The sequence below is a fragment of the Homo sapiens genome, chromosome 5 (genome assembly GCF_000001405.40).
Source record: "Homo sapiens chromosome 5, GRCh38.p14 Primary Assembly".
NCBI classification, from domain to species: domain Eukaryota; kingdom Metazoa; phylum Chordata; class Mammalia; order Primates; family Hominidae; genus Homo; species Homo sapiens.
Window position 1 is genome coordinate 34,410,066 of NC_000005.10, and position 26,561 is coordinate 34,436,626.

The following is a 26,561-nucleotide window of genomic DNA, read 5'->3' on the forward strand; positions in this document are numbered from 1 at the left end:
GTCCCATGATAGCTCAATAAAGGTGAAAATCAGCATCCAATAAGGAAGGGCAAAGGGTAGGCTACATCTATGAAAGGGAGTGTCCATCTGCACCCATATCACCTGTGAGAAGAGGGATTTTTGCTATGCAGAGATCTAATGATTATTTGCAAAGTGCCTTTCTTAAAGAGACTCCTTTCAACATTTGAATGTCAGAATCATCACCCTAAAATGTAGTCTTTGTGTTAGTTGAACCTTTGTTCTTACAAGAGGCTTGTTGAAGAAAAGAGTCAAACTCTGAAAAAATATTTGAAAAGATTTATTCCAAGCCAAACATGAGTGACCAATGGCCTGTGACACAGTCCTCAGGAAATCTTAAGAACATGAGCCCAAAGTGGTCAGGCACAGCCTAGTTTTATACTTCTTAGGGAGACATGAGACATCAATCAAATACATATAAGATTTATATTGGTTTGATCTGGAAGGGTGGGACAACTTAAGTGGAATGAGAGGCTTCCAAGTCATTCCAGGTAGATTAAAATATTTCTGATTGGCAATTAGTTGAAAGAGTTATTATCAATAGAAAGGAATGTCTGGGTTACACAAAGGGTTGTGGAGATGAAGGTTTTGTCATGCAGATGAAGCCTGCAAGCACCAAGCTTCAGAAAGAATAGATTGTAAATGTTTCTTATCAGACTTAAGATTTGTGTTCAAGTTAAAGCTGGTCAGCTTTTCCTGATTTCTGAAAGGGAAGAGGCCATTCCAACCCTCTTGGAATGTGGCATTCCAACCCCCTATTCCCATGATGGCCTGAACAAGTTTTTCAGGTTAACTTTGGAATGCCCTTGGCTGAGAGGAGGGCCCATTCAGATGATTGCGGGAGCCTTACAATTTTTTTTCGTTTACAGGCTGGAAGCCTGGGGTTGGTCTGACCACACCACTGTGAAAAAAGTGATAGCTGATTGGTTGGCTTGAACTTCTCTGACAGTGTTTTGGCAAAATGGGTCTGTCATGAATTGCACAAACTCAGTATCTGTCTGTTTCTACTTATTAAGGTAATGAACATTCCCCAAGTCACTATGAACCAATATTTTTTTTTTATTTTCCCTAAGCACATCCTGTGGTCAGGACTAATATTTGAATAATAGTTTTTTTATTTGTCTTGTTCCTTTTCCTGGAATTTCATGGGTAGAGGTCTGCCTTCTTCATCTCTCAGCACCTAGCTCAGTGACTAAACAGATTATTGGCCCATTGTTCACCACCACCCATGACGATCAGAGAAAACCAAAAACCTGAGCTCCCACAACTTTATGTCAAAGAGATGCTCTTATCTAAGCCCCCTTTTTCCCAAGCCTTGTAATGAGGGGAGGCAGTCATTGCAGTTTGTGAAGGAAGGCTCTATACAAATGGGCCTTCTGGCACCCTAATTACAGCCATAAAGTCAGTTCCCAAATAGGATTCACAGCTGCTCCCTCTGACTTGACCACAGGCCACATGGCAACTGGCTAGCCCTGTAGTGCAGCCAAGCCACTCTCAGCAGCTCATCAGTGAATCTTATTCCCCTGGTATTACAGGAACATCTGCAAGATTCATTTTGTCCTGCAGAGTAAGGAAAAGAAAAATGCCACATACTGACTTGCTTGTTAGAAATAAAAGACTTTCCATTGAGCTGAGCCATTTGCTTCTGAATAGCAATGTAAATAAAGTCATTCTGCAGCTGGATCTCCTGCAGCCTAAGAGGCCCAGGATGGAGACAGGGCTGTCTGGGGCAAGTGTCATCTTGGCAGATGGGAGAATGTAAGGGCAAGCATGCTGAGCAGTTGTCTGTTCAAAACCTCTAAACATGAGAAGGTGGGAGAGAGATGGATTATGAAGAAGTTCTAGGCTGAAAGCATTGCACAACTCTGTAATAGGTAGTTAATACCAAGTATGAAAGGAAAATAAAAACTTGGGACCCTAATTCACTCTGCCAAAAGAAAAAAATTAAGCTGAAAGCTGAGTCATGCAAGAAGCTACCTTTCCTTTTGTTCCTAAGCAGACAGTTACAGATAAAAGGTTAACTACCTCCACAGGTAGGTACTGTATATTCACCTTATCTCATGTAAATTGCCAGTTTACTGAGCTCCAGACAAATATGTAATTGACTATTCCCCTACCTGCTCCTTTTCTCTTGCAACATGTGGATTCAGTAATGTGACCACACCTTCCCTTCCAGCCTGCTTTTCCCCTTTAAATATTGAAGCCCTCAAAATCATATTTGGAGAAAGGCACAGACATGTCTCCCAAGTGCACTTCCTTAATCTTGGCAAAATAAATTTCTAAATTGATTGAGACCTGTCTCAGATACATCTTGGTTTACAAATAGGCAACCAATGGAAGGGATTCTGAGTGGAGGTGGTCCTGACCTTTGACAAACCTCCTATTGGTGCTTGGTACCAGCTTGAGCTCTTTTCATTGCTCAAACCAACAGGATAATTTGCCAAGGTCCAGGGACTCCGCCTCCAGAAAAATCTCTCATCTCCCAAAATGTGGTTGAGATCTAAGGTTTACCTTGCTGTACAATTCCTTTTCTGGAGTTTTACTTCCAACAAGGAAGGCCAGATTTCCTGCTTCCTTTATGATGGAGAGTAGGCAATTCTTTTCTGCAGTTTCAGTTCACTTCTGTAAACCGCAAAGTATTTGAGGATAGGTCTCAATTGATTTAGAAGGTTCTTTTGCCAAGGTTATGGACGCACACCTGGAAGACAGATCTGTGCCTTTCTCCAAAGATGATTTTGAGGGCTTCAGTATTTAAAGGGGGAAGGCAGATACTGGGGAAAGAAAAAGAAATTTTGAAAAGATGTGGGTAGATAAGAGGCAAGCAGTTGCATTCTTTTGAGTCTTTGATCAGCCTTTCACATTTGACGGGGTTAGAGGAATCATCACTTAGGCATTCATCTAGCTCAGTGAATCTGCATTTTTATATAAGATAAAATAAACATAAGGCAGAGGAAGCAATCAGATATGCATTTATCTCAGATTAGCAGAGGGAGGACATTGAGTCCTGTCCTTTGTCCCATACTTGTGATAAGCTTTCAATTTACATTGTCAGGGTGAAATTCAAGAGTTGTTTTAAGGTAAAAATCTTGGGGCCCACAAGGCATTTCCTAGGGGGCAAATTATGGGGATTGTAACTTTTTAAGAAAAATCTTTGTAGCTATCTTTTTTAGAAATGAAATGGGAGGCAGGTTTGCCTGATGCCATTCTCAGCTTGGCTTTTCCCTTTGGCTTAGTGATTCTGGGGTCCCTAGATTTATTTTCCTTTCACACTTCCAATAGGGAAGGCAAGTTTGAGTTTTTGTTTGCTTCTAACATGGTAGAGAACAGTCTTAAATTTAAAACTGCCTGTCTAAATACAATTGGTCTCCTTACACATATTGTGAAAACTGTAAAAAAAGAAAAGAAAACTGTAATAGTAATCATTTAAAGTTATTTGGTAGATTACCATATTTGGTAGAATATGGTAGATTTCTATAATTTTATGTTTGACTTGGCATCTATTTTTAATCTCTTTCTAGCACACCAGACTCTCTCTTTGTACTTTGAGAAGTAAATTTCACAATCTGATTTTCACCTCAGAGTTGTTCTTTTAGTAGGCAAATTTAGTGCTATCTAGCTGACAATTGCATAGGGTAATGAAAAAGATTATCAAGAAATTGGAAGCCTATAATAGGAGGTAAAAAAAAAAAAGTGGTCTTATGAATCTATAAGATCTACACCATATCTACATGTCTAATATGTCTATGTATTTATGTGTCATGCATGTAATGTTTCACTACCAAAAATATATAAAAGAGCTCTGATTAACTGGCTTAAAGAAAAAAAGCACTCAAATGAAATACTGTATCAGAAAAATAGAAAGTTTAAACCCAAATGCTTTCTCAAGTTCATATGACTTAAGAAAATCCTTAATAAATAAGTTGGTTTAAAAATTATTGGTAAAGGCTGGGTGTGGTGGCTCACACCTGTAATCCCAGCACTTTGGGAGACCGAGGTGGGTGGATCACCTGAGGTGAGGAATTTGAGACCAGCCTGACCAACATGGTGAAAACCTTTCTCTACTAAAAATACAAAATTAGCTCGGCATGGTGGCACATGCCTGTAATCCCAGCTACTTGGGAGGCTGATACAGGAGAATTGCTTGAACCTGGGAGGCAGAGGTTGCAGTGAGCCGAGATCATGCCATTGCACTCCAGCCTGGGCAACAAGGGTGAAACTCCACATCAAAAAGAAAAAAAAGAAAAAAAAAAATATATATATGTAAAATAAAACTAGAAATGTTTTCAGAATTGTTAACATGCATTATCATTTAGATTTATTGGTCAAGCAGTTTGATATTTATCTCTGCCAGATACTATAAGCTTCAAAATTTGGCATGAGAGTTATAAAGCTTGCAGACCAAAAGAGAATTATGTTTGTGTAATTTTTTAACAAATAAGACATTTAATATTGTTGGTTTAATGAAAATAGCTAAATCCTGAGTTATTGAGCAAAAACACTCATTTGGTTATTTCATAGGTAATTTAGGTAAACTATTTTTTAAATTAATTAATTAGGTAAATATAATGAAATAAATGCTTGTAAAAGGAAAATATCTTGAGGCCCAACATCACTAAGCTAAAGGGAAAATTCAAGCTGGGAACTGCTCAGGGCAAATCTGCCTTCCATTCTATTCAAAGTCATCCCTCTTCTCACTGAGACAGATGTACATTCTGATTGCCTTCTTTGGAAAGACTTACCAGAAACTCATAAGAATGTAACCATTTGTCTCTCACCTATCTGTGACCTGGAAGCCCCCCTCCCTGCTTCAAGTTGTCTGGATGGAACCAATATACTTCTTACACATATTAACTGATGTCTCATATCTCCCTAAAATGTATAAAACCAAGCGGTGCCCTGACCACCTGGGCACATGTCATCAGGACTTACTGAGGCTGCGTCATGAGCACGTCCTCAACCTTGGCAAAAAAACTTTCTAAATTAACTGAGACCTGTCTCAAATTTTGGGGCTTCACATTTTGGTAACCACTAAGGGGTTCTGAGTGGAGATGCCCCTGACCTTTGACAAATCTTGTGTTGGTGCTTGGTGCCAACATGCGCTAACTTCATGGCAAAAACCAATAGGACAATTTGCTGAGGTCTAAGAACACTGCCTCCAGAGGATCCCTAATTTCCCAAAATTTAGTCAAGATCTAAAGCTTATTTTGCTGTAAAAACTCCTTTTTTTTTTTTTTTTTTTTTTTAGTTTTACTTGAGTCCAACATTCCAACACAAGGAAGGCAAGTTTTTCCTGCTTCCATGATGATGGAAGGTAGGTAACTCCTTTATGGAGTTTGAGTTCATTTCCAACAGGGAAGATGAGGGGTTTCTTTTCCTGCTTCTAGGATGGTAGAGAGCACTCTTCAGCCTGAGACCCATCCCTAGGTAAGTAATTGAATTGGGATTTGTCTTGGCTAAAGTTAGATTAACAGCCAGCTGGTCTTAATTTCTCCTTACCATTAGAGCACTCAGTGATCTTACCGTTGGAGTTTCTTTGTTATTTGTTCTGGTCTGAGGTTGTTGTTTAAGGATTCTCATTCTACTTTAAAGATGCATTCTAAATAGTCTTCTCCATTGCCTTTTCTCCCAAATTTAATCTTAATTTGGTTTGTCAGTGTGCATTTTCATGAGGAGCTGAAATGTTGTTTTCACATGTTAATGAGAGACTGAGCTTTCTCAGCTCCAAAGAGGAAGGGCATTTGTTCCTCCCAGCCAAAAGGTGTCCCTGGGTGACTGGGGGCCCCATCACAGTGTCTAGGGCATTGATCCCCCATGCCATGACATGTAGTGGCCCTTCTGGGAAACCCCCAACAAAAATTAATTTTTAAAATGGCTCATCCAGGAAATACATATAAGGGCTGATCACCCAGCATTTTTAGCCCTCTCTGAGGTCATAGACCTCTGGAGAAAGAAACTGAAAGAAACTCTAGAGACAGAAATGTAAGAGGGTGGATGTACTCAGTGGTGACACATTGTAGAGTCCTGACCAAAAGCAGCATATATCAATCCACCACATAAAAACCTTAGGCAAGAGCTCAGTTCTTCCTTTTAAGAAAAAGAAAAGCGGGAAACAAATAATCTAAGAAAGAAAACAAGGAAAATGACCCCCTTTCAAGGACTCCATGGGTTTCATGGCACATCTACTTGCCAAAGTTTATGTAAAATGAAAATAATATGGTCTTTGTAAATAATTACCTTAAGGAAAAGGAGCCCGAAGGTCAACCTGAAAACTATAGAGTTCCTAAGTCCTCTTTTTCTCTATTTTTTTCTTTTCTGCCTGCTCTAAATATGCTGTTATTTTTCTATTAAGACAAAAACCGCTGTTTAGATCCAACAAGCCCTTTTTGCAAGCCAATGATTTCATGTTTATCTCATGGTTAAAAGTTCTGAAGTAAAAGCTATAGGATCTTTGTGTGTGTGTGTGTACATATTTAAAAGGCCTTTATAATTTCCATAATTTTATGTTTAATAGGCAATTAAAACCATTTTAATTTCCCTCCAACATACCAAACTTTTTCTCTCTGCACATTATAATGTAAATTTTGCTCTTTGACTTTTACCTGAGTTGCTTTCTTTAATATGCAAATTTAAGGCTATTTAGCTGACAACAGCTCAGGGTTGTAAAACACATTATCAAGAATCTGAAAGTCTAAGATAGGGAAAAAAAGGTTTTTGTGAATCTATAAAATGTACTTCTATCAGCATGCCTAATGCATCTATATATTTATGTGTTGTGTACACAATATTTTACTACTAAAAATATATAAAAGATCTCTAATTAATGGGCTTAAAAGTAAAATCAAAGTGCTTAAATTAGATATGAAAAAGGAAAAGACTAGTCAAATGCTTTTTCAAGTTTATGTAACTTAAGTAAAATCTTTAGTAAACAAGCTAGCTTTAAAATTATTGGCAAAGTAATATTAAAAATGTCTTAAGAATTGCCAGCATACATTGTTTGCATTTATTAATCAAGCAAGTTCATACTTATCCCTGCCAAATACTATAAGGTGTCAAAATTTGGCACAGAGTTTACAAAACTATAAACCTAGCCCAAGACAGAATGATCTTTGCTTGTGTAATCTTTAATGAATAAGACACTGATACTGGTTTCATGAAAATAGCTACATCTTGAATTGTTTAGTAAAATTACCATAACTTCTAATCTTCTGTATTTACACAGCCTAGTCCATGGGCAGTAAGGAGGTTTGTTATGGGACAGGACTGTAATCGTCTTTGTTTCAAAGCTAAAGTATAAGCTAAGTTCCTCCCAAAGTCTAGTAATTAACAAGGACAGCTTAGAGGTTAGAAGCAAGATGGAGTCAGTTAGGTTATATCTTTTTCACTGTCTCAGCCATAATTTTGCAATGGCAGTTTCATAACTTCAAATCATGACTATTGTAGTTTTCATAAATAATCTAGGGAAACAATTAAAATAATTAGGGAAATGTAATGGGATAAATACTTGTAGACAAACTCAGCATAATTTAGACTCTAAGGTTATATTAAATTAAATAATAGATATTTCATTATTTGGGTATTTTCTAATAAATATATATTGCAGGAAAACATTTTTTTTTTTGAGACGGAGTCTTGTTCTGTTGCCCAGGCTGCAGTGCAGTGACATGATCTCAGCTCACTGCAACCTCTGCCTCCCAGGTTCAAGTGATTCTCCTGCCTCAGCCTCCTGAGTAGCTGGGATTACAGGTGCGTGCCACCATGCCTGGCTAATTTTTGTATTTTTAGTAGAGACGGGGTTTCACCATGTTGGTCAGGCTGGTCTTGAACTCCTGACCCCACGATCCACCCACCTTGGCCTCCCAAAATGCTGAGATTACAGGCGTGAGCCACCACGCCTGGCCAGAAAACATTCTTACTGAAAAAAAAGGGAGGGTGTTCTTTTTAAAAAAAAGGTGAATAAGTTTTATCTCATTCAAAGCTTATTTAAAAGTTATGTATAAAACAAGGTAAAAGGCACCAGGAAATAAGACAGATGTAAATAAAGTTATAAAAATAAATTTTTTTTTTGTGGTAAGAAAGCTGAAAGAGAAATAATTGTATATGAGAAAGAATCTTGTATGGTAAATTTAGCCCTAAAATAAAATGACTGGTTGTTAAAGAAAGAGGGATATTCAGGACAAACCAGAAAGTCCAGGCATGTCATGAACAGTTGGTTTAAGTAATAATAAGAGAATTTATCTGAAAAAAAAGCTTTCATTTGATCAGGTTGTCACATTATTATTAAGTTCTGGTTTGCTTATGAATAAAAACTGAGTTTAAAAAAATTTTTGGATTAAGGTTATTACATCCATGTTATCTTCCTGTATGTGTTTTTAAAGTCTTGTGACATTTAGGGCTTTGAATCCTGGGTCTTAAGAGGACACCAAGTCTTGCTAAATCTTAAACACTCACAGCAATTAAAGCCTCATTATTATGCCCCATAGAAGATGCCAATCAAAATAAACTGCTTTTCTGAGACACAGAGCCAGAAATTAAAGCTAGTCAACTCCTCAAGGCCCAGGGACTGAAATGCAAGATGCAGGCACATGAGATTGTAAGGGTGAGTTTTGAAAGATAAAATTAAGTTCAGTTTCTCTATAAAGTAATCATTAATGTCAAAGGTGCACTGATGCAAGATCAGCATATGGGCCCGTGTGTCAGATTAACAAGGTTTTCTTTAAGCATTAGCCAACTCCTTAATGAAGGTTGTAAGGGTTATAAAAGGCTTATGGAAGCTATAGCTGATGGTCAAGATTACAATTTTATAGATTGTTTATAAAATTTTGGAAAACAAATTTAATTGGCTTCATGTTGTTTTTATTAGGGCTATTGCTTGGAAAATTAAGTCTCCTCTCTCAAAGAATAAAGATTTTGCCTTTTTAAAAAAAATCCTTGCATTATCACTTTGGTTAAGTGAATGACTTATTTTGCAATGACCTGTGATCCTATTTTGTGATATCAAGTGTTTTAAACCTTTGATATTTGACAAACTTTCCAAAATCAAGTTATAAATTATGTTTTCTTCTGACCTAATTAATTCTTTAAGATATTAGGTCCTCTAAAGTCCAAAAATGACATAATTTGGCTTATTTGCTACAAAAAAACTATCCAGGAAGTATTGTCAAATATGAAATGGTGTTTGGTTTTCTTTGGGCTGTATTTGTATAAATATGTTATTGGTATGTGTTCCAAAATTATGGGAAACTCTTACAATTCTGATATAACAGTGTGCATTATCAGTAATAATTATAATTGTTATGTTAAATTATTGTGTGCCACAGAGGTAACAAATTTCCTTGTCAATTGTGTCTTTGACTATGACTGCCCTAAAGCTTTTTGTCTTCCACAGACAAGCCTTGTTTTGGTCCTCTTTAGAAGGTGGTTCTATAATCAGCTATGGAACTCTAACAGGTGTTCTTAAATGCAGGTTTCTGATAACTTTGGAGACTGTGACATTATAACAGAGGGAAAAAAACTTTCAGGACTCTCATGAAGAGCTGAAATGCTCATGAAGCAGAACAAGAGTTAACGGAGTAAACTGAACTGATAGAAAACTAAAGCAATCTTTTTTACTTTTGCTTTAATCGTTGCTAATCCTTTGTGGGTTGTTTTTAGGCTTGAAACTTTTGTTTTGAGCTATTGACAGCTTTTAACAATTCAGTGTAATCCTATGAGCAAAATTTGGAGCATATTTGTTTCTGTCTACCTGATTTCCCCAGAGTTTGGAAACTATTGGTGAGTATTCTTAACTATGGCAATATAGTTATTGCATAAGTTCAGTAAGAATCTAGGTGGGGCGCAGTGGCTCATGCCTGTAATCCCAGCACTTTGGGAGGCCGAGGCAGGAGGCCGAGGTCAGAAGATCGAAACCATCCTGGCTAACATGGTGAAACCCCGTCTCTACTAAAAATACAAAAACAAAATTAGGCGAGCATGGTGGTGGGCACCTGTAGTCCCAGCTACTCGGGAGCTTGAGGCAGGAGAATGGTGTGAACCTAGGGGGCAGAGCTTGCAGTGAGCTGAAATCATGCCACTGCACTCCAGCCTGGGCGACAGAGCGAGACTCCATCTCAAAAAAAAAAAAGTATCTGTTTTCATTTGTAACTGGAAACAATTAGAGAAACTGGTTATTTTACCAAGGCTTTGACTGGAATGATGTGCTTTCCTTTAAGGAATCAAACTTGACTTATGAAGCCAATAAAGCCCTTGGAAAAGCTGGCCTTATGTTTTGTGTACACAATCCCTGTACGGGGTTCCTGACCTGTGGTAAGTAAAGAATGTCATTTTCTGACAGGCCCAGGAGCCAGGTTTATCTTGCAACTGCAAGAGAAGAAGAAACTCACATAACTCATAGTTATTTAATGGCACAGATCCATGGCTGGGCTCAGCTTTAAAAAAGTCTTGTCTGGGTCACACCTATAATCCCAGCACTTTGGGAGGCCAAGGTGGGCAGATCACTTGAGGTCAGGCGTTACAGACCAGCCTGGCCAACATGGTGAAACCCCATCTCTACTAAAAATACAAAAATTAGCCAGGTGTGGTGGTGGGTGCCTATAATCCCAGCTACTTGGGAGGCTGAGGCAGGAGAATTGTTTGAACCTGGGAGGCAGAGGTGCCAGTGAGTTGAGACCATGCCACTGCACTCCAGCCTGGGTGACAGAACAAGACTCCATCTCCAAAAAAAAAGAAAAAAATAGTTTTATCTGAGATTTCTCCTATGGAACAAAGTTCCATCAAAGCCAATTTAAAAGCCTATATAAAAAACAATTATTCTTGCTGCACTGTATACAAATAATTAGGCCAAGTATAATAAAGCAAACTAGTCCTACCATGATTTGTCTTTAGTATGAGACAGAGAGAGAGAGAAATGAGAGAGAAAAATTATGTTTCAAAACTGTGCATCTATTGTAGATTCTAGTCTTGCCTAATGATTATCTTCTACAATTTGGACCAATTCTAGATTTTTTTGGCTACAAGTCTTCAAAATAATGTTTTCAATTTTTTTCCTTGTTTTTTTCTTATTTTTCCTAATTTGGAGTCACTGAAAACTAAGCTATGTTTTCTTAAAGTCCTGTGAACCGAAGCCAGACAACTTAAACTTCAGAAGAAAATAACAACAACCTATTTACATGCATAAGCCACTTTCATACCTGCCCACTAATGTCTGGACTTCAGAGTAATGTGACCTTTATCAATTATTCCAGGATTGTTCTTTTGTTTGTTGTTGTTTTTCTCCCTTCCTCCCCTATTGCGGGATCTGGCCAGCAGCCCACAATGCAATGGGGCTCTCTCTGTTCCCAGGTGGATCAGCAGGTTGAGAAATAATAGACACACAGAAGATAGTGAAAGCTGGGTCCAGGGGGGTCACCACCTTCTGGTCCCACGGTGCCAACAATGCACTGGATATACCAGCATTTATTATTAAATTTAGTGAGGGCAGGGGTAGGTTAGTGAGGGATTTAGGGTCATTTGATTATGAGGTGAGATGGTCACATGGGGATAAAGTAATTCTTTAACATAACATTTGTATGTAGAAGTACAGTATACAGAGATAAGAATTTACAATATAATGTGTGCATCAGTAATTTCTAACAGAGCCTTAAAACAGAAACACAATCTTTCTGTAACCTACGATTAGCAAGATATTAATCAGCAGTAACAATTTCAACAAAAGCTGGTTACAAACAATCCATGGAAACAGGAGGTGAAGCTAGACAACCGGTTAGACCAGAAATTCTCAGAAGGGAGTATGCCTTAACCCTAAAGAGACCTAGAAGAGCCGTGGCAAGAAGAGGGTGTTTATAGCCCTGTCTTATCCATATGGACAGGTGCCCCCACCATGCATCCGTTTATAGGCTCTCCACAAGGGTCACATTCCATTCCCAGAGCTATGAACATCTGCTTTTCTGGGATAGGAATCTTGGTGATGTGAAACCTCCCTGACTGCACGTCCATTCATAGGCTCTCTGCAGGGGGAAGCACATTACACGCTGTTGGCTTGTTCTGGCAGTCCAACCTGGCATTGTCTTTACACAATCCTGCATTCAATTTTGTATTTACAATAATCAGGAGCATTTCATCTTTTATTCCATAGCAATAGTTTCAGGGGGTCTCCCTACACTCCCCCTATTTTCTCTTCATACGACATGAAACTTCACAGACTGCTAAAAATGAGCTTTCGGGACCTAACCCATCTATGAATAAACTGTCCTAGCCATGAGAGATCAGATAAAACCTGAGACCAGAGATTCATTTTCTTCTAAAATGCTTTCCCCAAAATATTTTTAAAAAGAAGATGGGGAAAATGTGCAAGGAAGATATCTTGGGCTCCCAAAATCACTAAGCTAAGCTAAAGGGAGAATTCAAGCTGGGAACTTCTCAGGACCATTCTGCCTCCCATTGTATTCAAAGTCATCCCTCTGCTCACTTCGATAGATGCACATTCTGATTGCCTCCTTTGGAAAGGCTTATTAGAAACTCAAAAGAATGCAACCATTTGTCTCTCACCTACCTGTGATCTGGAAGCCCCTCTCCTTGCTTGAAGTTGTCCCCCACTTTCTGGACAGAACCAACGTACTTCTTACACATATTGATTAATGTCTCATGACTCCCTAAAATGTATAAAACAAAGCTGTGCCCTAACTACCTTTGGCATATGTCATCAGGACTTTCTGAGGTTGTGTGCACATCCTCAACCTTGGCAAAATAAACTTTCTAAATTAAGTGAGACCTGTCTCAAATCTGGGGGGTTCACATGCTTGTTAATAAACATGTCACATAATTTAGCATCTGAAGTTATATTGAACTAAATAGTAAATATTCATTAAATGTCTGGGTCATTTTGAATTAAAAAATATATTGTAGGTAAATATTTTTCTTGCAAAATGCATTCTTATTTAAAGGAAAATGATTTTTGTCTAATTCAAAGGTTATTTATAAAACAAGGTAAAAAGAATCAGTAAATAAGAGAGATATAAAGAAAGTTATAGATATAAAGAGTTTTTTTGGTAAGAAAGGGCACATGAGATTGTAAGGGCCAATTTTGAGAAATAAAATTCATTCTGAGTTTCTCTATAAATTAAACATTAATATCAAAGGGACACTGATGCAACACCTGTATCTGGGCCCCTGTGTCAGACTAACAAAGTTTTCATGAAGCATTAACCCACTTTTTAATTTAAAAAAAAGCATAAAAAGGTTTATGGAAACTATATCCTGTGGTCAAGATGATTAAAATTTAATAGATTTGTTTATAAGATTTGAGAGACAGATTTAATTAGCTTCATGCTGTCTTTATTAAGGCTTATTGTTTAGGAAAGTAAGTATCCTCACTCAAATAACAAGGTTTTTCTCTGTTTAAAAAAAAAAATTGAGTTGTCACTTTGGCTAAATGAATGACTTCTTTTACAATGACCTGTGATCCTATTTTGTGATGTCAAGTGTTTTAAACTTTTGATATTTGACAAACTTTCCAAAATCAAATTCTATATTCAGTCCTTTTGACTTTATTTACTTTTTTGACTTTAGGTCCCCTAAGTCCAAAAGAGACATATTCAGCTTATTTGTTATAATAAAATCATGCAGGAAGTATTGTCAAATATGAAATGGTATTTAGCCTTCTTTGGATTATATTTATCTAAATGAGTTATTAGTATTTGTTCCAAAATTGTATGAGATTCCTGTGATTCTGATATGTCTTAGCATATACTATCAGTAGTAATTATAATTATTATGTAAAATTGTTGTATGCCACAGAAGTAACCAAATTTCCTTGTCAATTGTCTCTTCAACCATGGCTGTTCTAAGACTTTTGTCATCCGCAATTGTTGTTTTACTTTGATTCTTTCATAGAGCAGTTTATAATCAGCTATGGAGCTCTGAGGGGTACTCTTAAATACAGGTTTTGTATAAATTGAGAGATTGTGCCACAGGAATAGAGAGAAAAATTTCGAAGATTCTCATGGAGAGCCGATGTATTCATGAGGACTGTTGATCCAATATCAAGCAGAACAGGAGTTAGTTACATGGGCTGAACTAACAGAAGACTGAGTTAATCTTTTACGGCTTCTTCAAAACATTTGCTGACTCTTTGTTTTGTTTTTCAGAGTCAAGAAAAGTTTCTCTTCTTTTAAGCTATTTAAAGCTGTTAACAATTGAGTAAAGGATACTCTTATGAGCAAAATTTGAAATGCAACCCCTTTCTCAAAACCTAATTTCTTTAAAATTTGAAAACTGTTTTGTGAGCATTCTTAATTTATGACAATATAGTTATCTGCATAAGTTCAATGAGAATCTGTTTTCTTTTCTAACATGGCATATTTGGAGACACTGGTTATTTTACCAAGGTTTTGAGTGGAGTGATATTTTCAGATTGACTTTAGAAAATGAGGCTGACTCATAGAGTTTAGAGAAGCCCCTTAGAAAAACTGACTTTATACCTTGTCTTTTACAGGGTGCCAACCTGTGGTAAATTAAGAATGTCATTTTTTGTCAGGCCCAGAAACCCCAAGTTTTCTTAGAACCTTGAAAAGAGAAGAATTCATCCAATTCACACAGGTATCTGCAAGCACAGATAAATCCTTGGCTGGGCTCAAGCCTTTTAAAAAGGTCTAATCTTAGATTCCTTATGAAAAAGGTTCTGGCAAAGCCAATTAAAAAAAGACGGAGTGCCTATATGGAAAATAATTATTTTTGCTGCACTTTATGCAAATAACCAAGCAAAGTGTAATAGGACTAAAAGTTATTTTACAAATAAATTAGTATTATGATGATTTTGTCTTTCATAAAATTGAGGAATTGAAGAGGGAAAAATTATGCTTCAAAATAAACTATAGGGTCAGACACAGTGGCTATGCCTGTAATCCCAGAACTTTGGGGGCCTAAGGCAGGTGGACCACATGAGCCCAGGAGTTTGAGACCAGCTCAGGCAATACAGTGAGACCCAGTCTCTACAAAAAAAATTTAAAAATTAGCCAGGTGTTGTGGCTCAATTGACAGTCCCAGATACTTGAGGACCTGAGGTAGGAAGATCACTTGAGCCTGGAAGGTTGAGGCTGCAGTGAACTGTGACCAACTCACTGTACTTAAGCCTGAGAGACAGAGCAAGACCCTGTCTCTAAAAAAAATAACTGCAGTACACCTGTTATTAGATTCTAGTCTTGCCTAATGTTTTTCCATTTGTATTATTTTCTAAATAATAAAATTTTTATTTGAACTGAATTCTAAAATTTTTCCTGGACACAAGCTGGAATGTTTTCAATTTTTTTCCTTCTTCTTTTCCTTTTTTCTGTCCATTTTGTTCTAATTTGAAATCACTAAAAATTATGCTTTGCTCTTCTTAAAGCCCTGTAAACTGAAGCTAGATAACTTAAACATCAGAAGAAAATAACAGTAACCTATTTATATACATAAACTACTTTCATATCTGCCTACTGATGTATGGACTTCAGAATAATGCAGCCTATATCAGTTTTCTAGGATTGTTCTATTTTTTTGTTGGTTTATTGTTTTCTTTTTCTCTTCCTTCCCCTATTTTTTCTTGATAGGATAGGAGACCTTAAAATCTGTTAAAAAAAATGAGCTTTCCTAACAATGTGGGACCTATTTGTCTAGGAACAAACTGTCCTAGCTATGAGAGATCGAACAAAACCCAAGACCAGAGACTCATTTTCTTCTAAAATGTTTCCTCTGAAAGCTTTAAAAAGAAAAAACAGAGAGAGGGCCGGGCATGGTGGCTCATGCCTGTAATCCCAGCACTTTGGGAGGCTGAGGCGGGCAGATCATGAGGTCAGGAGATTGAGACCATCCTGGCTAATGTGGTGAAACCCTGTCTCTACTAAAAATACAAAAATTAGCCGGGCGTGTTGGTGGGCACCTGTAGTCCCAGCTACTGGGGAGGCTGAGGCAGGAGAATGGCATGAACCTGGGAGGCGGAGCTTGCAGTGAGCCGAGATCACTCCACTGCACTCCAGCCTGGGCAAGAGTGAAACTCTGTCCCAAAAAAAAAAAATAGGGAGAAAATGTGAAAGGAAAATAAAAACTTGGGACCCCAATTCATTACACCAAAAAAAAAAAAAAGAAAAAGAAAAATTAAGCTGAAAGCTGAGTCATGCAAAAAAGCTGCCTTTCCTTTTGTCCCTAAGCAAATAGCTACAGTTAAAAGGATTCCACAGGTAGCTACTCTATGTTCAACTTATCTTATATAAAGTGCCACTTTACTGAGTTCAAGACTCAAGATGAATATATAATTGATTATTCCCCATCTGCTCTTTTTCTCTTGCAACTTGTATGTATTTATCCATTTTCAAATGGCTATAAAGAATTACCTGAGACTGGGTAATTTATAGAGGAAAGAGGTTTAATTGATTCACATTTCTGCATGGCTGGGGAGGCCTCAGGAAATTTACAATCATGGCAGAAGGTGAAGAGTAAGTAAGGCACGTCTTACATGGCAGAAGGAGAGAGAGAGTGGGGTAACTGCCAAACACTTAAACCATCAGATTTCATGAGAACTCACTATCATGAGAACAACATGGGGGATACCACCCCCATGATCCAATCATCTCCCACCAGGTCCCTCCCTTGACATATGGGGATTACAATTCGAGATGAGATTTGGGTGGGGACACAGAGCCAACCCATATTATTACACTCCTGGCCCCTCCAAAACCTCATGTCCTCCTCACATTTCAAAACATAATCATGCCTTCCTGACAGTTCCCCAAAGCCTTAACTCATTCCAGCATTAACTCAAAAGTCCAAGTCCAAAGTCTCATCTGAGACAAGGCAAGTTCCTTCTGCCTATAAGTCTGTAAATGCTTCCTTTCCAAAAAGGAGAAATCAGCCAAAACAAAGGGGCTACAGGCCCCATGCCAGTCCAAAATCCAGCAGGGCAAACATTTAATCTTAAAGCTCCAAAATAATCTCTTTTGACTCTATGTCTCACATAGAGTCAGGCATTGGGTAAATACTCCCTTTCAAAAAAGGAGAAATCAGTCAAAACAAAGGGGCTACAGGCCCCATGTGAGTCCAAAATCCAGCAGGGCCGCCATTTAATCTTAAAGCTCCATAAGAATCTCCTTTGACTCTGTGTCTCACATCCATGGCACACTGATGCAAGGGGTGGCCTCCCACAGCCTTGGGCAGCTCTGCTTCTGTGGCTCTGCAGGGTATAGCACCCATGGCTGCTTTCACAGACTGGCGTTGAGTGCCTATGGCTTTTCCCAGTACAAGGTGCAAGCTGTTGGTGGATCTACCATTCTGGGATCTGGAGGATGGTGGCCCTCTTCTCACAGCTCCACTAGGCAGTGCCCCAGTGGGGACTCTGTGTGGGAGATCCAACCCTACATTTCGCCTCTGCATTTCCCTGGTAGAGGTTCTCCATGAGAATTCTACTCCTGCAGCAGACTTCTACCTGGACATCCAGGCATTTCCATACGTCGTCTGAAATTTAGGCAGAGGCTCCCAAATCTCAATTTTTGTCTTCTGCACACCTGCAAGCCCAATACCATGTGGAAGCTGCCAAGCCTTGAGGCTTGCACCCTCTGAAGCCATGGCCCAAGCCGTAGCTTGGCCCCTTTTAGCCATGGGTGGAGCTGGAGTGGCTGGTAAGCAGGGCACCAAAACCTCAAAAGTAGGGAATCTGACAGTGCAGCCTTCAGTCTGTGATCAAAGGCCTACGAGCCCCTACCAAACCACTGGTATAAGTCCAAGAGTCCAAAAGCTGTAGAACTTGGAGTCTGATGTTCAAGGGCAGGAAGCATCCAGCACAGGAGAAAGACGAAGACAGGAAGACTCAACAAGTCTGCTCAGTCCACTTTTTTCTGCCTGCTTTTTCTAGCTGTGCTGGCACCCAATCGGATGGTGCCCACTCAGATCAAGTGTGGATCTGCCTCTCCCAGATTAACTGACTCAAATGTTAATCTTCTCCAGCAACACCCTTATAGACATACCCAGAAACAATACTTTGCATCCTTCAATCCAATCAAGTTGACACTTAATATTAACTATCACAGTATAACAACCATAATAAACCAAGTTTCAAATCTCCAGAGCTGGAAACTAGTCCATGGAAAATTATCCCAGTAATCACATGGATAAAATTCTAAGTGGATAATTTGGTTCTCATTGATGCATGGTCAGAAGTGAAGGCTTTATCCTGGTATATATTGAATAATGCATCATATTGAGGACTAAATTCTGACCTTTTTTTCTTCTCTTGTCCAAATTCTTATCTAAGGGGCCTGGGGAGTCATATCCTACAAGCCATAGACTCTTATCAGAGAAATTTTATTTAACCCATTTAATGTGGCTTACTTTCCAAACTGACTCTGGCATAACATCATGACAGATAAGAAAAGAAATCATAATATTTTAACCACACGTATGTTTCTTGGGTATATCTTGAAATAGACCTGCAAAGTGATCTGTTTTGGGGAAAACTCTACATTCTGTAAAAAGTCCCCTTTCCCTTTTCCAGGTCTTTTTATTGATCCAGGAGAGAATCAACCAAAGTCTGACACCATTTTAAGTCTAATAAGTAACATTTACAATCTATTCTATCTGTAGCCTGCTACCTGGAGGCTTTATCTCATAATAAGAACCTTGGCCTCTAAAATCTCTTATCTTTATTATTATTATTATTATTATACTTTAAGTTCTAGCATACATGTGCACAACGTGCAGGTTTTTTACATATGTATACATGTGCCATGTTGGTTTGCTGTGTCCATTAACTCATCATTTACATTAGGTATTTCTCCTAATGCTATCCCTCCCCCATCCCCCCACCCCACAACAGGCCCTGGTGTGTGATGTTCCCCACCCTGTGTCCAAGTGTTCTCATTGTTCAATTCCCACTTATGAGTGAGAACATGTGGTGTGTGGTTTTCTGTCCTTACAATAGTTTGCTCAGAATGATGATTTCCAGCTTCATCTATGACCCTGCAAAGGACATGAACTCATCCTTTTTTATGGCTGCATAGTATTCCATGGTGTATATGTGCCGTGCTTTCTTAATCCAGTCTATCATTGATGGACATTTGGGTTGGTTCCAAGTCTTTGCTGTTGTGAATAGTGCTGCAATAAACATACATGTGCACGTATCTTAATAGCAGCATGATTTATAATACTTTGAGTATATACGCAGTAATGGGATCGCTGGGCCAAATGGTATTTCTAGTTCTAGATCCTTGAGGAATCACCACACTGTCTTCCACAATGGTTGAACTAGTTTACAGTCCCACCAACAGTGTAAAAGTGTTCATATTTCTCCACATCCTCTCCAGCACCTGTTGTTTCCTGACTTTTTAATGATTGCCATTCTAACTGGTGTCAGATGGTATCTCATTGTGGTTTTGATTTTCATTTCTCTGATGACCAGGGATGATGAGCATTTTTTCATGTGTCTGTTGGCTGCATAAATGTCTTCTTTTGAAAAGTGTTGGTGCATATCCTTTGCCCCCTTTTTCATAGGGTTGTTTGATTTTTTTCTTGTAAATTCGTTTCAGTTCTTTGTAGATTCAGGATATTAGCCCTTTGTCAGATGGGTAGATTGCAAAAATTTTCTCCCATTTTGTAGGTTGCCTGTTCACTCTGATGGTAGTTTCTTTTGCTGTGCAGAAGCTCTTTAGTTTAATTAGATCCCAGTTGTCTATTTGGGCTTCAGTTGCCGTTGCTTTTGGTGTTTTAGTCATGAAGTCCTTGCACATGCCCATGTCCTGAATGGTATTGCCTAGGTGTACTTCTAGGGGGGTTTTTATGGTTTTAGGTCTAATATTTAAGTCTTTAATCCATCTTGAATAAATTTTTGTGTAAGGTGTAAAGAAGGGATTCAATTTCAGCTTTCTACGTATGGCCAGCCAGTTTTCCCAGCACCATTTATTAAATAGGGCATCCTTTCCCCATTTCTTGTTTTTGTCAGGTTTGTCAAAGATCAGATGATTGTAGATGTGTGGTGTAATTTCTGAGGCCTCTGTTCTGTTCCATTGGTCTATATCTCTGTTTTGGTACCAGTACCATGCTGTTTTGGTTACTGTAGCCTTGTAGTATAGTTTGAAGTCAGGTAGCATGATGCCTCCAGCTTTGTTCCTTTTGCTTAGGATTGTCTTGGCTATGTGGGCTCTTTTTTGGTTCCATATGAACTTTAAAGTAGTTTTTTCCAATTCTGTGAAGAAAGTCATTGGTAGCTTGATGGGGACGGCATTGAATCTATAAGTTACTTGGGACAGTATGGTCATTTTCATGATATTGATTCTTCCTATCCATGAGCATAGAATGTTCTTCCATTTGTTTGTGTCCTCTTTTATTTCCTTGAGCAGTGGTTTGTAGTTCTCTTTGAAGAGGTCCTTCACATCCCTTGTAAGTTGGATTCCTAGGTATTTTATTCTCTTTGTAGCAATTGAGAATGGGAGCTCACTCATGATTTTGCTCTCTGTTTGTCTGTTATTGGTGTATAGGAATGCTTGCAATTTTTGCACATTGATTTTGTATCTGGAGATTTTGCTGAAGTTGCTTATCAGCTTAAGGAGTTTTTGGGCTGAGACAATGGGGTTTTCTATATATACAATCATGTCACCTGCAAACAGGGACAATTTGACTTCCTCTTTTCCTAATTGAATACACTATTTCTTTCTCTTGCCTGATTGCCCTGGCCAGAATTTCCAATACTATGTTGAATAGGAGTGGTGAGAGAGGGCATCCCTGTCTTGTGCCAGTTTTCAAAAGGAATGCTTCCTGTTTTTGCCCATTCAGTATGATACTGGCTATGGGTTTGTCATAAATAGCTCTTATTATTTTGAGATACGTTCCGTCAGTATCTAGTTTATTGAGAATTTTTAGCATGAAGTGTTGTTGAATTTTGTTGAAGGCCTTTTCTGCATCTATTGAGATAATCATGTGGTTTTTGTCTTTGGTTCTGTTTATGTGATGGATTGTGTTTATTGATTTGCATATGTTGAAACAGCCTTGCATCCCAGTAATGAAGCCAACTTGATCTTGGTGGATAAGTTTTTTGGTGTGCTGCTGGATTTGGTTTGCCAGTATTTTATTGAGGATTTTCACAATGATGTTCATCAGGGATATTGGTCTAAAATTCTCTTTTTCATTTGTCTCTGCCAGACTTTTGTATCAGAATGATGCTGGCCTCATAAAATGAGTTAGGGAGGGTTTCCTCTTTTTCTATTGATTGGAATAGTTTCAGAAGGAATGGTACCAGCACCTCCTTGTACCTCTGGTAGAATTCGGCTGTGAATCCATCTGGTCCTGGACTTTTTTTGGTTGGTGGGCTATTAATTATTGCCTCAATTTCAGAATTTGTTATTGGTCTATTCAGTGATTCAACTTCTTCCTGGTTTACTCTTGGGAGGGTGTATGTGTCCAGGAATTTATCCATTTCTTCTAGATTTTCTCGTTTATTTGTGTAGCAAAGTTTATAGTATTCTCTGATGGTAGTTTGTATTTCTGTGGGATTGGTGGTGATATCCCCTTTATCATTTTTTATTGCATCTATTTGATTCTTCTCTCTTTTCTTCTTCATTAGTCTTGATAGTGGTCTATCAATTTTGTTGATCTTTTCAAGAAACCAGCTCCTGGATTCATTGATTTTTTGAAGGGTATTTTGTGTGTGTGTCTGTCTATCTCCTTCAGTTCTGCTCTGATCTTAGTTATTTCTTGCCTTCTGCAAGCTTCTGAATGTGTTTGCTCTTGCTTCTGTAGTTCTTTTAATTGTGATGTTAGGGTGTCAATTTTTGATCTTTCCTGCTTTCTCTTGTGGGCATTTAGTGCTATAAATTTCCCTGTACACACTGCTTTAAATGTGTCCCAGAGATTCTGGTATGTTGTGTCTTTGTTCTCATTGGTTTCAAAGAACATCTTTATTTCTGCCTTAATTTCGTTATGTACCCAGTAGTCATTCAGGAGCAGGTTGTTCAGTTTCCATGTAGTTGTGCGGTTTTGAGTGGGTTTCTTAATCCTGAGTTTTAATTTGATTGCACTGTGGTCTGGGAGACAGTTTATTGTGTTACATTTGCTGAGGAGTGCTTTACTTCCAACTATGTGGTCAATTTTGGAATAAATGCGATGTGGTGCTGAGAAGAATGTATGTTCTGTTGATTTGGGGTGGAGAGTTCCGTAGATGTCTATTAGTTCTACTTAGTGCAGAGTTGAATTCAAGTCCTGGATATCCTTGTTAACCTTCTGTCTTGTTGATCTTTTTAATATTGAAAGTGGGGTATTAAAGTCTCCCATTATTATTGTGTGGAAGTCTATGTCTCTTTGTAGATCTCTAAGGACTTGCTTTATGAATCTGGGTGCCCCTATATTGGGTGCATATATATTTAGGATGGTTAGCTCTTCTTGTTGAATTGATCCCTTTGCCATTGTGTAATGGCGTTCTTTGTCTTTTTTGATCTTTGTTGATTTAAAGTCCATTTTATTAGATGCTAGGATTGCAACCTCTGCTTTTTTTTTTTTTTTTGCTTTCCATTTGTTGGTAGATCTTCCTCCATCCCTTTATTTTGAGCTTGTGTGTGTCTCTGCATGTGAGATGGGTCTCCTGAATACAGCACCCTGATGGGTCTTGACTCTTTATCCAATTTGCCACTCTGTGTTTTTTAATTGGGGCATTTAGCCCATTTACATTTAAGGTTAATATTGTTGTGTGTGAATTTGATCCTGTCATTATGATGTTAGCTGGTTATTTTGCTCATTAGTTGATGCAGTTTCTTCCTAGCATCAATGGTCTTTACAATTTGGCATGTTTTTGCAGTGGCTGGTACTGGTTGTTCCTTTCCATGTTTAGTGCTTCCTTCAGGAGCTCTTGTAAGGCAGGCCTGGTGGTGACAAAATCTCTCAGCATTTGCTTGTCTGTAAAGGATTTTATTTCTCCTTCACTTATGAAGTTTAGTTTGGCTGGATATGAAATTCTGGGTTGCAAATTCTTCTCTGTAAGAATGTTGAATATTGGCCATCATTCTCTTCTGGCTTGTAGAGTTTCTGCCAAGAGATCCACTGTTAGTTTGATGGGATTCCGTTTGTGGGTAACCTGACCTTTCTCTCTGGCTGCTCTTAGCATTTTTTCCCTCATTTTAACCTTGGTGAATCTGATGATTATGTGTCTTTGGGTTGCCCTTCTCGAGGAGTATCTTTGTGGTGTTCTCTGTATTTCCTGAATTTGAATGTTGGCCTGTCTTGCTAGGTTGGGGAAGTTCTCCTGGATGATATCCTGAAGAGTCTTTTCCAGTTTTGTCCTTTCTCCCTGTCACTTTCAGGTACACCAATCAAACGTAGATTTGGTCTTTTCACATAGTCCCATATTTCTTGGAGGCTTTGTTCATTTCTTTTTACTCTTTTTTCTCTACACTTCTCTTCTCACTTCATTTCATTCATTTGATCTTCTGTCACCGATACCCTTTCTTCCACTTGATCAAATCAGCTACTGAAGCTTGCTCATGCGTCATGTAGTTCTCGTGCCATGGTTTTCAGCTCCATTAGGTCATTTAAGGTCTTCTCTACATTGTTTATCCTAGATCACCATTCATATAATCTTTTTTCAAGGTTTTTAGCTTCCTTGCAATGGGTTCGAACATCCTTCTTTAGCTCGGAGATGTTTGTTATTACCAACCTTCTGAAGCCTGCTTCTGTCAACTCATCAAAGTCATTCTCCGTCCAGCTTTGTTCCATTGCTGGCAAAGAGCTGCCATCCTGTGGAGGAGAAGAGGTGCTCTGGTTTTTAGAATTTTCAGCTTTCCTGCTCTGGTTTCTCCCCATCTTTGTGGTTTTATCTATCTTCGGTCTTTGATCATGGTGACCTACAGATGGGGTTTTGGTGTGGATGTCCTTTTTGTTGATGTTGATGTTATCCCTTCCTATTTGTTAGTTTTCCTTCTAACAGTCAGGCTCCTCAGCTGCAGGTCTGTTGGAGTTTCCTGGAAGTCCACTCCAGACCCTGTTTGCCTGGGTATCACCAGCAGAGGCTGCAGAGCAGCAAATATTGCAGAACAGCAACTATTGCTGCCTGATCCTTCTTCTGGAAGCTTCATCTCAGAGGGGCACCTGGCTGTATGGGGTGTCTGTCAGCCCCTACTGGGAGGTGTCTCCCAGTTAGGCTACGCGGGGGTCAGGGACCCACTTCAGGAGGCAGTCTATCTGTTCTCAGAGCTCAAACACCATGCTGGGAGAACCACTGCTCTCTTCAGAGCTATCAGACAGGGATGTTTAAGTCTGCAGAAGTTTCTGCTGCCTTTTATTTAGCTATACCCTGCCCCTAGTTGTGGAGTCTACAGAGGCAGAGGGCCTTGTTGAGCTGCAGTGAGCTCCACCCAGTTCGAGCTTCCTGGCCCCTTTGTTTACCTACTCAAGCCTCAGCAATGGTGGACGCCCCTCCCCCTGCCAGGCTGCTGCCTAGCAGTTGGATCTCAGACTGCTACACAAGCAGTGAGCAAGGCTCCGTGGGCATGGGACCCGCTGAGCCAGGCGCAGGATATAATCTCCTGGTGTACCGTTTGCTAAGACTGTTGGAAAAGCACAGTATTTAGGTGGTAGTGTCCCGATTTTCCCAGTACAGTCTGTCACAGCTTCCCTTGGCTAGGAAAGGGAAATCCCCGGACCCCTTGTGTGTCCCAGGTAAGGTGATGCCCCACCCTGCTTCGGCTCACCCTCTGTGGGCTGTACCCACTGTCCAACCAGTCCCAGTGAGATGAACCAGGTACCTCAGTTGGAAATGCAGAAATCACCCATCTTCTGTGTTGATCATGCTGGGAGTTGCAGATCAGAGCTATTCCTATTCAGCCATCTTGGAACAGATCCCCTACAATCTCTTATCTTAACCCAGACTTTTCCTTTCTATTGATTCCAGATCTTTAGATAAACTCTTTCAACCAACTGCCATCCAGAAAATCTTTGAATCTGATCATAATAACCTGGAAGCCCCACCACTTCCAGTTGTCCTGCCTTTATGGACCAAACCAATATACATCTTACATGTATTAATTGATATCATATGTCCTCCTATAATGGATAAAACCTAGTTGTGGCCTAACCAGGGGCACATGTTCTCAGGGTCTCCTGAGGGCAGTGTTATGGGCTGTGGTCCCTCATATATGGCTCAGAATAAATCTCTTCAAATATTAATATTTTACAGAGTTTGACTTTTTTTTTTTTTTTGAGATGGAGTCTTGCTCTGTCACCCAGGCTGGAGTGCAGTGGCACAATCTCAACTCACTGTAACCTCTGCCTCCTGAGTTTAAATGATTCTCTTGTCTCAGCCTCCCAAGTAACTTGGATTACAGATGCCAACCACCATGCCTAGCTAATTTTTGTATTTTTCATAGAGACAGGGTTTCACCATGTTGGCCAGTCTTGTCTCCAACTCCTGACCTCAAGTAATCCACCTGCCTCAGCCTCCCAAAGTGCTGGGATTACAGGTGTGAGCCATCATGCCCAACCTAAAGTTTGACTCTTTTCATTGATAATATACAGATGTAAATGCTTTTGAATTATGTTTCCCAAAAGGATAGGTTGAAGTCTTAACCTCCAGTACCCATGCATGTGACCCTATTTGGAAACTGGGTCTTTGGAGATATAATTAAGATGTAAACAATGATGAGGTCATACTGGAGGAGGACAGGCCCTGATCCAGTGACTGGTGGCCTTATAAGTAGTGGGAAATTTGGCCATAGACAGACATGAAGAACCCTATGTGACGATAGAGGCCAAGATAGAAGGGATGCAGCTGCAAGCCAAGGAATACCAAGAAGGAATGGCAAGACCAGAATCCAGAAAGAGGTGAGGAAGGATTCTACCCATACCTAGGGTGTCAGAGGGAGCATGACCCTGCCAACTCCTTTCTTTTGGACTTCTAACCCCCAGATGTGTGAAAGAATAAATTTTTGTAGTTTCAAGTCCCTCAATTTGTGATGCTTTATTACAGTAGCCCTAGGAAACTGATAAAACACCTTACTTTCCCCTCAATTTTTGATAGAAATCACATGAAATAGAATTTATCCAAATTCCTATTTTTTAGGGTTCAAACCTATAGCAGCAAGTACCATAATGAGTAAATGTATGGAATTACATATTGCATGCATCCCAACTACAAATCATAATATGCACATTTAAATCAATCATGTTGAGTAAATATTGAATTTCTATTGTTTCTATAGAAAATGAAATTACAAAATTATTATTGGATGAAGAGGCAAAGCATGTGCAGCCAAAAATTATAAGAAAAAGTATTCAGAAATTATAAGAAAAAGTATTTCAGAAAAAATAAAAATGTTTGCTGAATGTGGTGGCTCACACCTGTAATCCCAGCACTTTGGGAGGCTAAGACAGGTGGATTGCTTGAGCCCAGGAGTTTAAGACCAGCCTGGGCAATAGGGTAAAACCCCATCTCTACAAAAAATACAAAAATTAGCCAGGCATGATGACATGTGCCTGTAGTCCCAGCTACCTGGGAGGCTGACTTGCGATGATTGCTTGAGCCTGAGAGGCAGAGGTTGCAGTAAGCC

General features: G+C 39.0%; 8 annotated features.

The window, feature by feature from the left end:
• Nucleotides 314–1,137: an enhancer, noted in NCBI's record as "OCT4-NANOG-H3K27ac-H3K4me1 hESC enhancer chr5:34410484-34411307 (GRCh37/hg19 assembly coordinates)". NCBI's record gives its function as "activates a minimal SCP1, AML or CMV promoter by ChIP-STARR-seq in naive H9 embryonic stem cells {active_cell/tissue: H9 hESC(naive)}" and the evidence as "EXISTENCE:reporter gene assay evidence [ECO:0000049][PMID:30033119]".
• Nucleotides 1,138–1,960: an enhancer, noted in NCBI's record as "OCT4-NANOG-H3K27ac-H3K4me1 hESC enhancer chr5:34411308-34412130 (GRCh37/hg19 assembly coordinates)". NCBI's record gives its function as "activates a minimal SCP1, AML or CMV promoter by ChIP-STARR-seq in naive and primed H9 embryonic stem cells {active_cell/tissue: H9 hESC(naive and primed)}" and the evidence as "EXISTENCE:reporter gene assay evidence [ECO:0000049][PMID:30033119]".
• Nucleotides 1,959–2,253: a silencer, noted in NCBI's record as "tiled region #480; K562 Repressive non-DNase unmatched - State 24:Quies". NCBI's record gives its function as "represses a minimal TATA promoter and a strong SV40 promoter by Sharpr-MPRA in K562 cells {active_cell/tissue: K562}" and the evidence as "EXISTENCE:reporter gene assay evidence [ECO:0000049][PMID:27701403]".
• Nucleotides 1,959–2,783: a biological region, named in NCBI's record as "OCT4-NANOG-H3K27ac hESC enhancer GRCh37_chr5:34412131-34412953".
• Nucleotides 1,961–2,783: an enhancer, noted in NCBI's record as "OCT4-NANOG-H3K27ac hESC enhancer chr5:34412131-34412953 (GRCh37/hg19 assembly coordinates)". NCBI's record gives its function as "activates a minimal SCP1, AML or CMV promoter by ChIP-STARR-seq in naive H9 embryonic stem cells {active_cell/tissue: H9 hESC(naive)}" and the evidence as "EXISTENCE:reporter gene assay evidence [ECO:0000049][PMID:30033119]".
• Nucleotides 5,824–5,993: an enhancer, noted in NCBI's record as "active region_22460". NCBI's record gives its function as "activates an Ori minimal core promoter by ATAC-STARR-seq in GM12878 lymphoblastoid cells {active_cell/tissue: GM12878}" and the evidence as "EXISTENCE:reporter gene assay evidence [ECO:0000049][PMID:35858748]".
• Nucleotides 6,393–6,959: an enhancer, noted in NCBI's record as "NANOG hESC enhancer chr5:34416563-34417129 (GRCh37/hg19 assembly coordinates)". NCBI's record gives its function as "activates a minimal SCP1, AML or CMV promoter by ChIP-STARR-seq in primed H9 embryonic stem cells {active_cell/tissue: H9 hESC(primed)}" and the evidence as "EXISTENCE:reporter gene assay evidence [ECO:0000049][PMID:30033119]".
• Nucleotides 9,645–9,845: a silencer, noted in NCBI's record as "peak5221 fragment used in MPRA reporter construct". NCBI's record gives its function as "represses an SCP1 promoter by STARR-seq MPRAs in K562 erythroleukemia cells {active_cell/tissue: K562}" and the evidence as "EXISTENCE:reporter gene assay evidence [ECO:0000049][PMID:32103011]".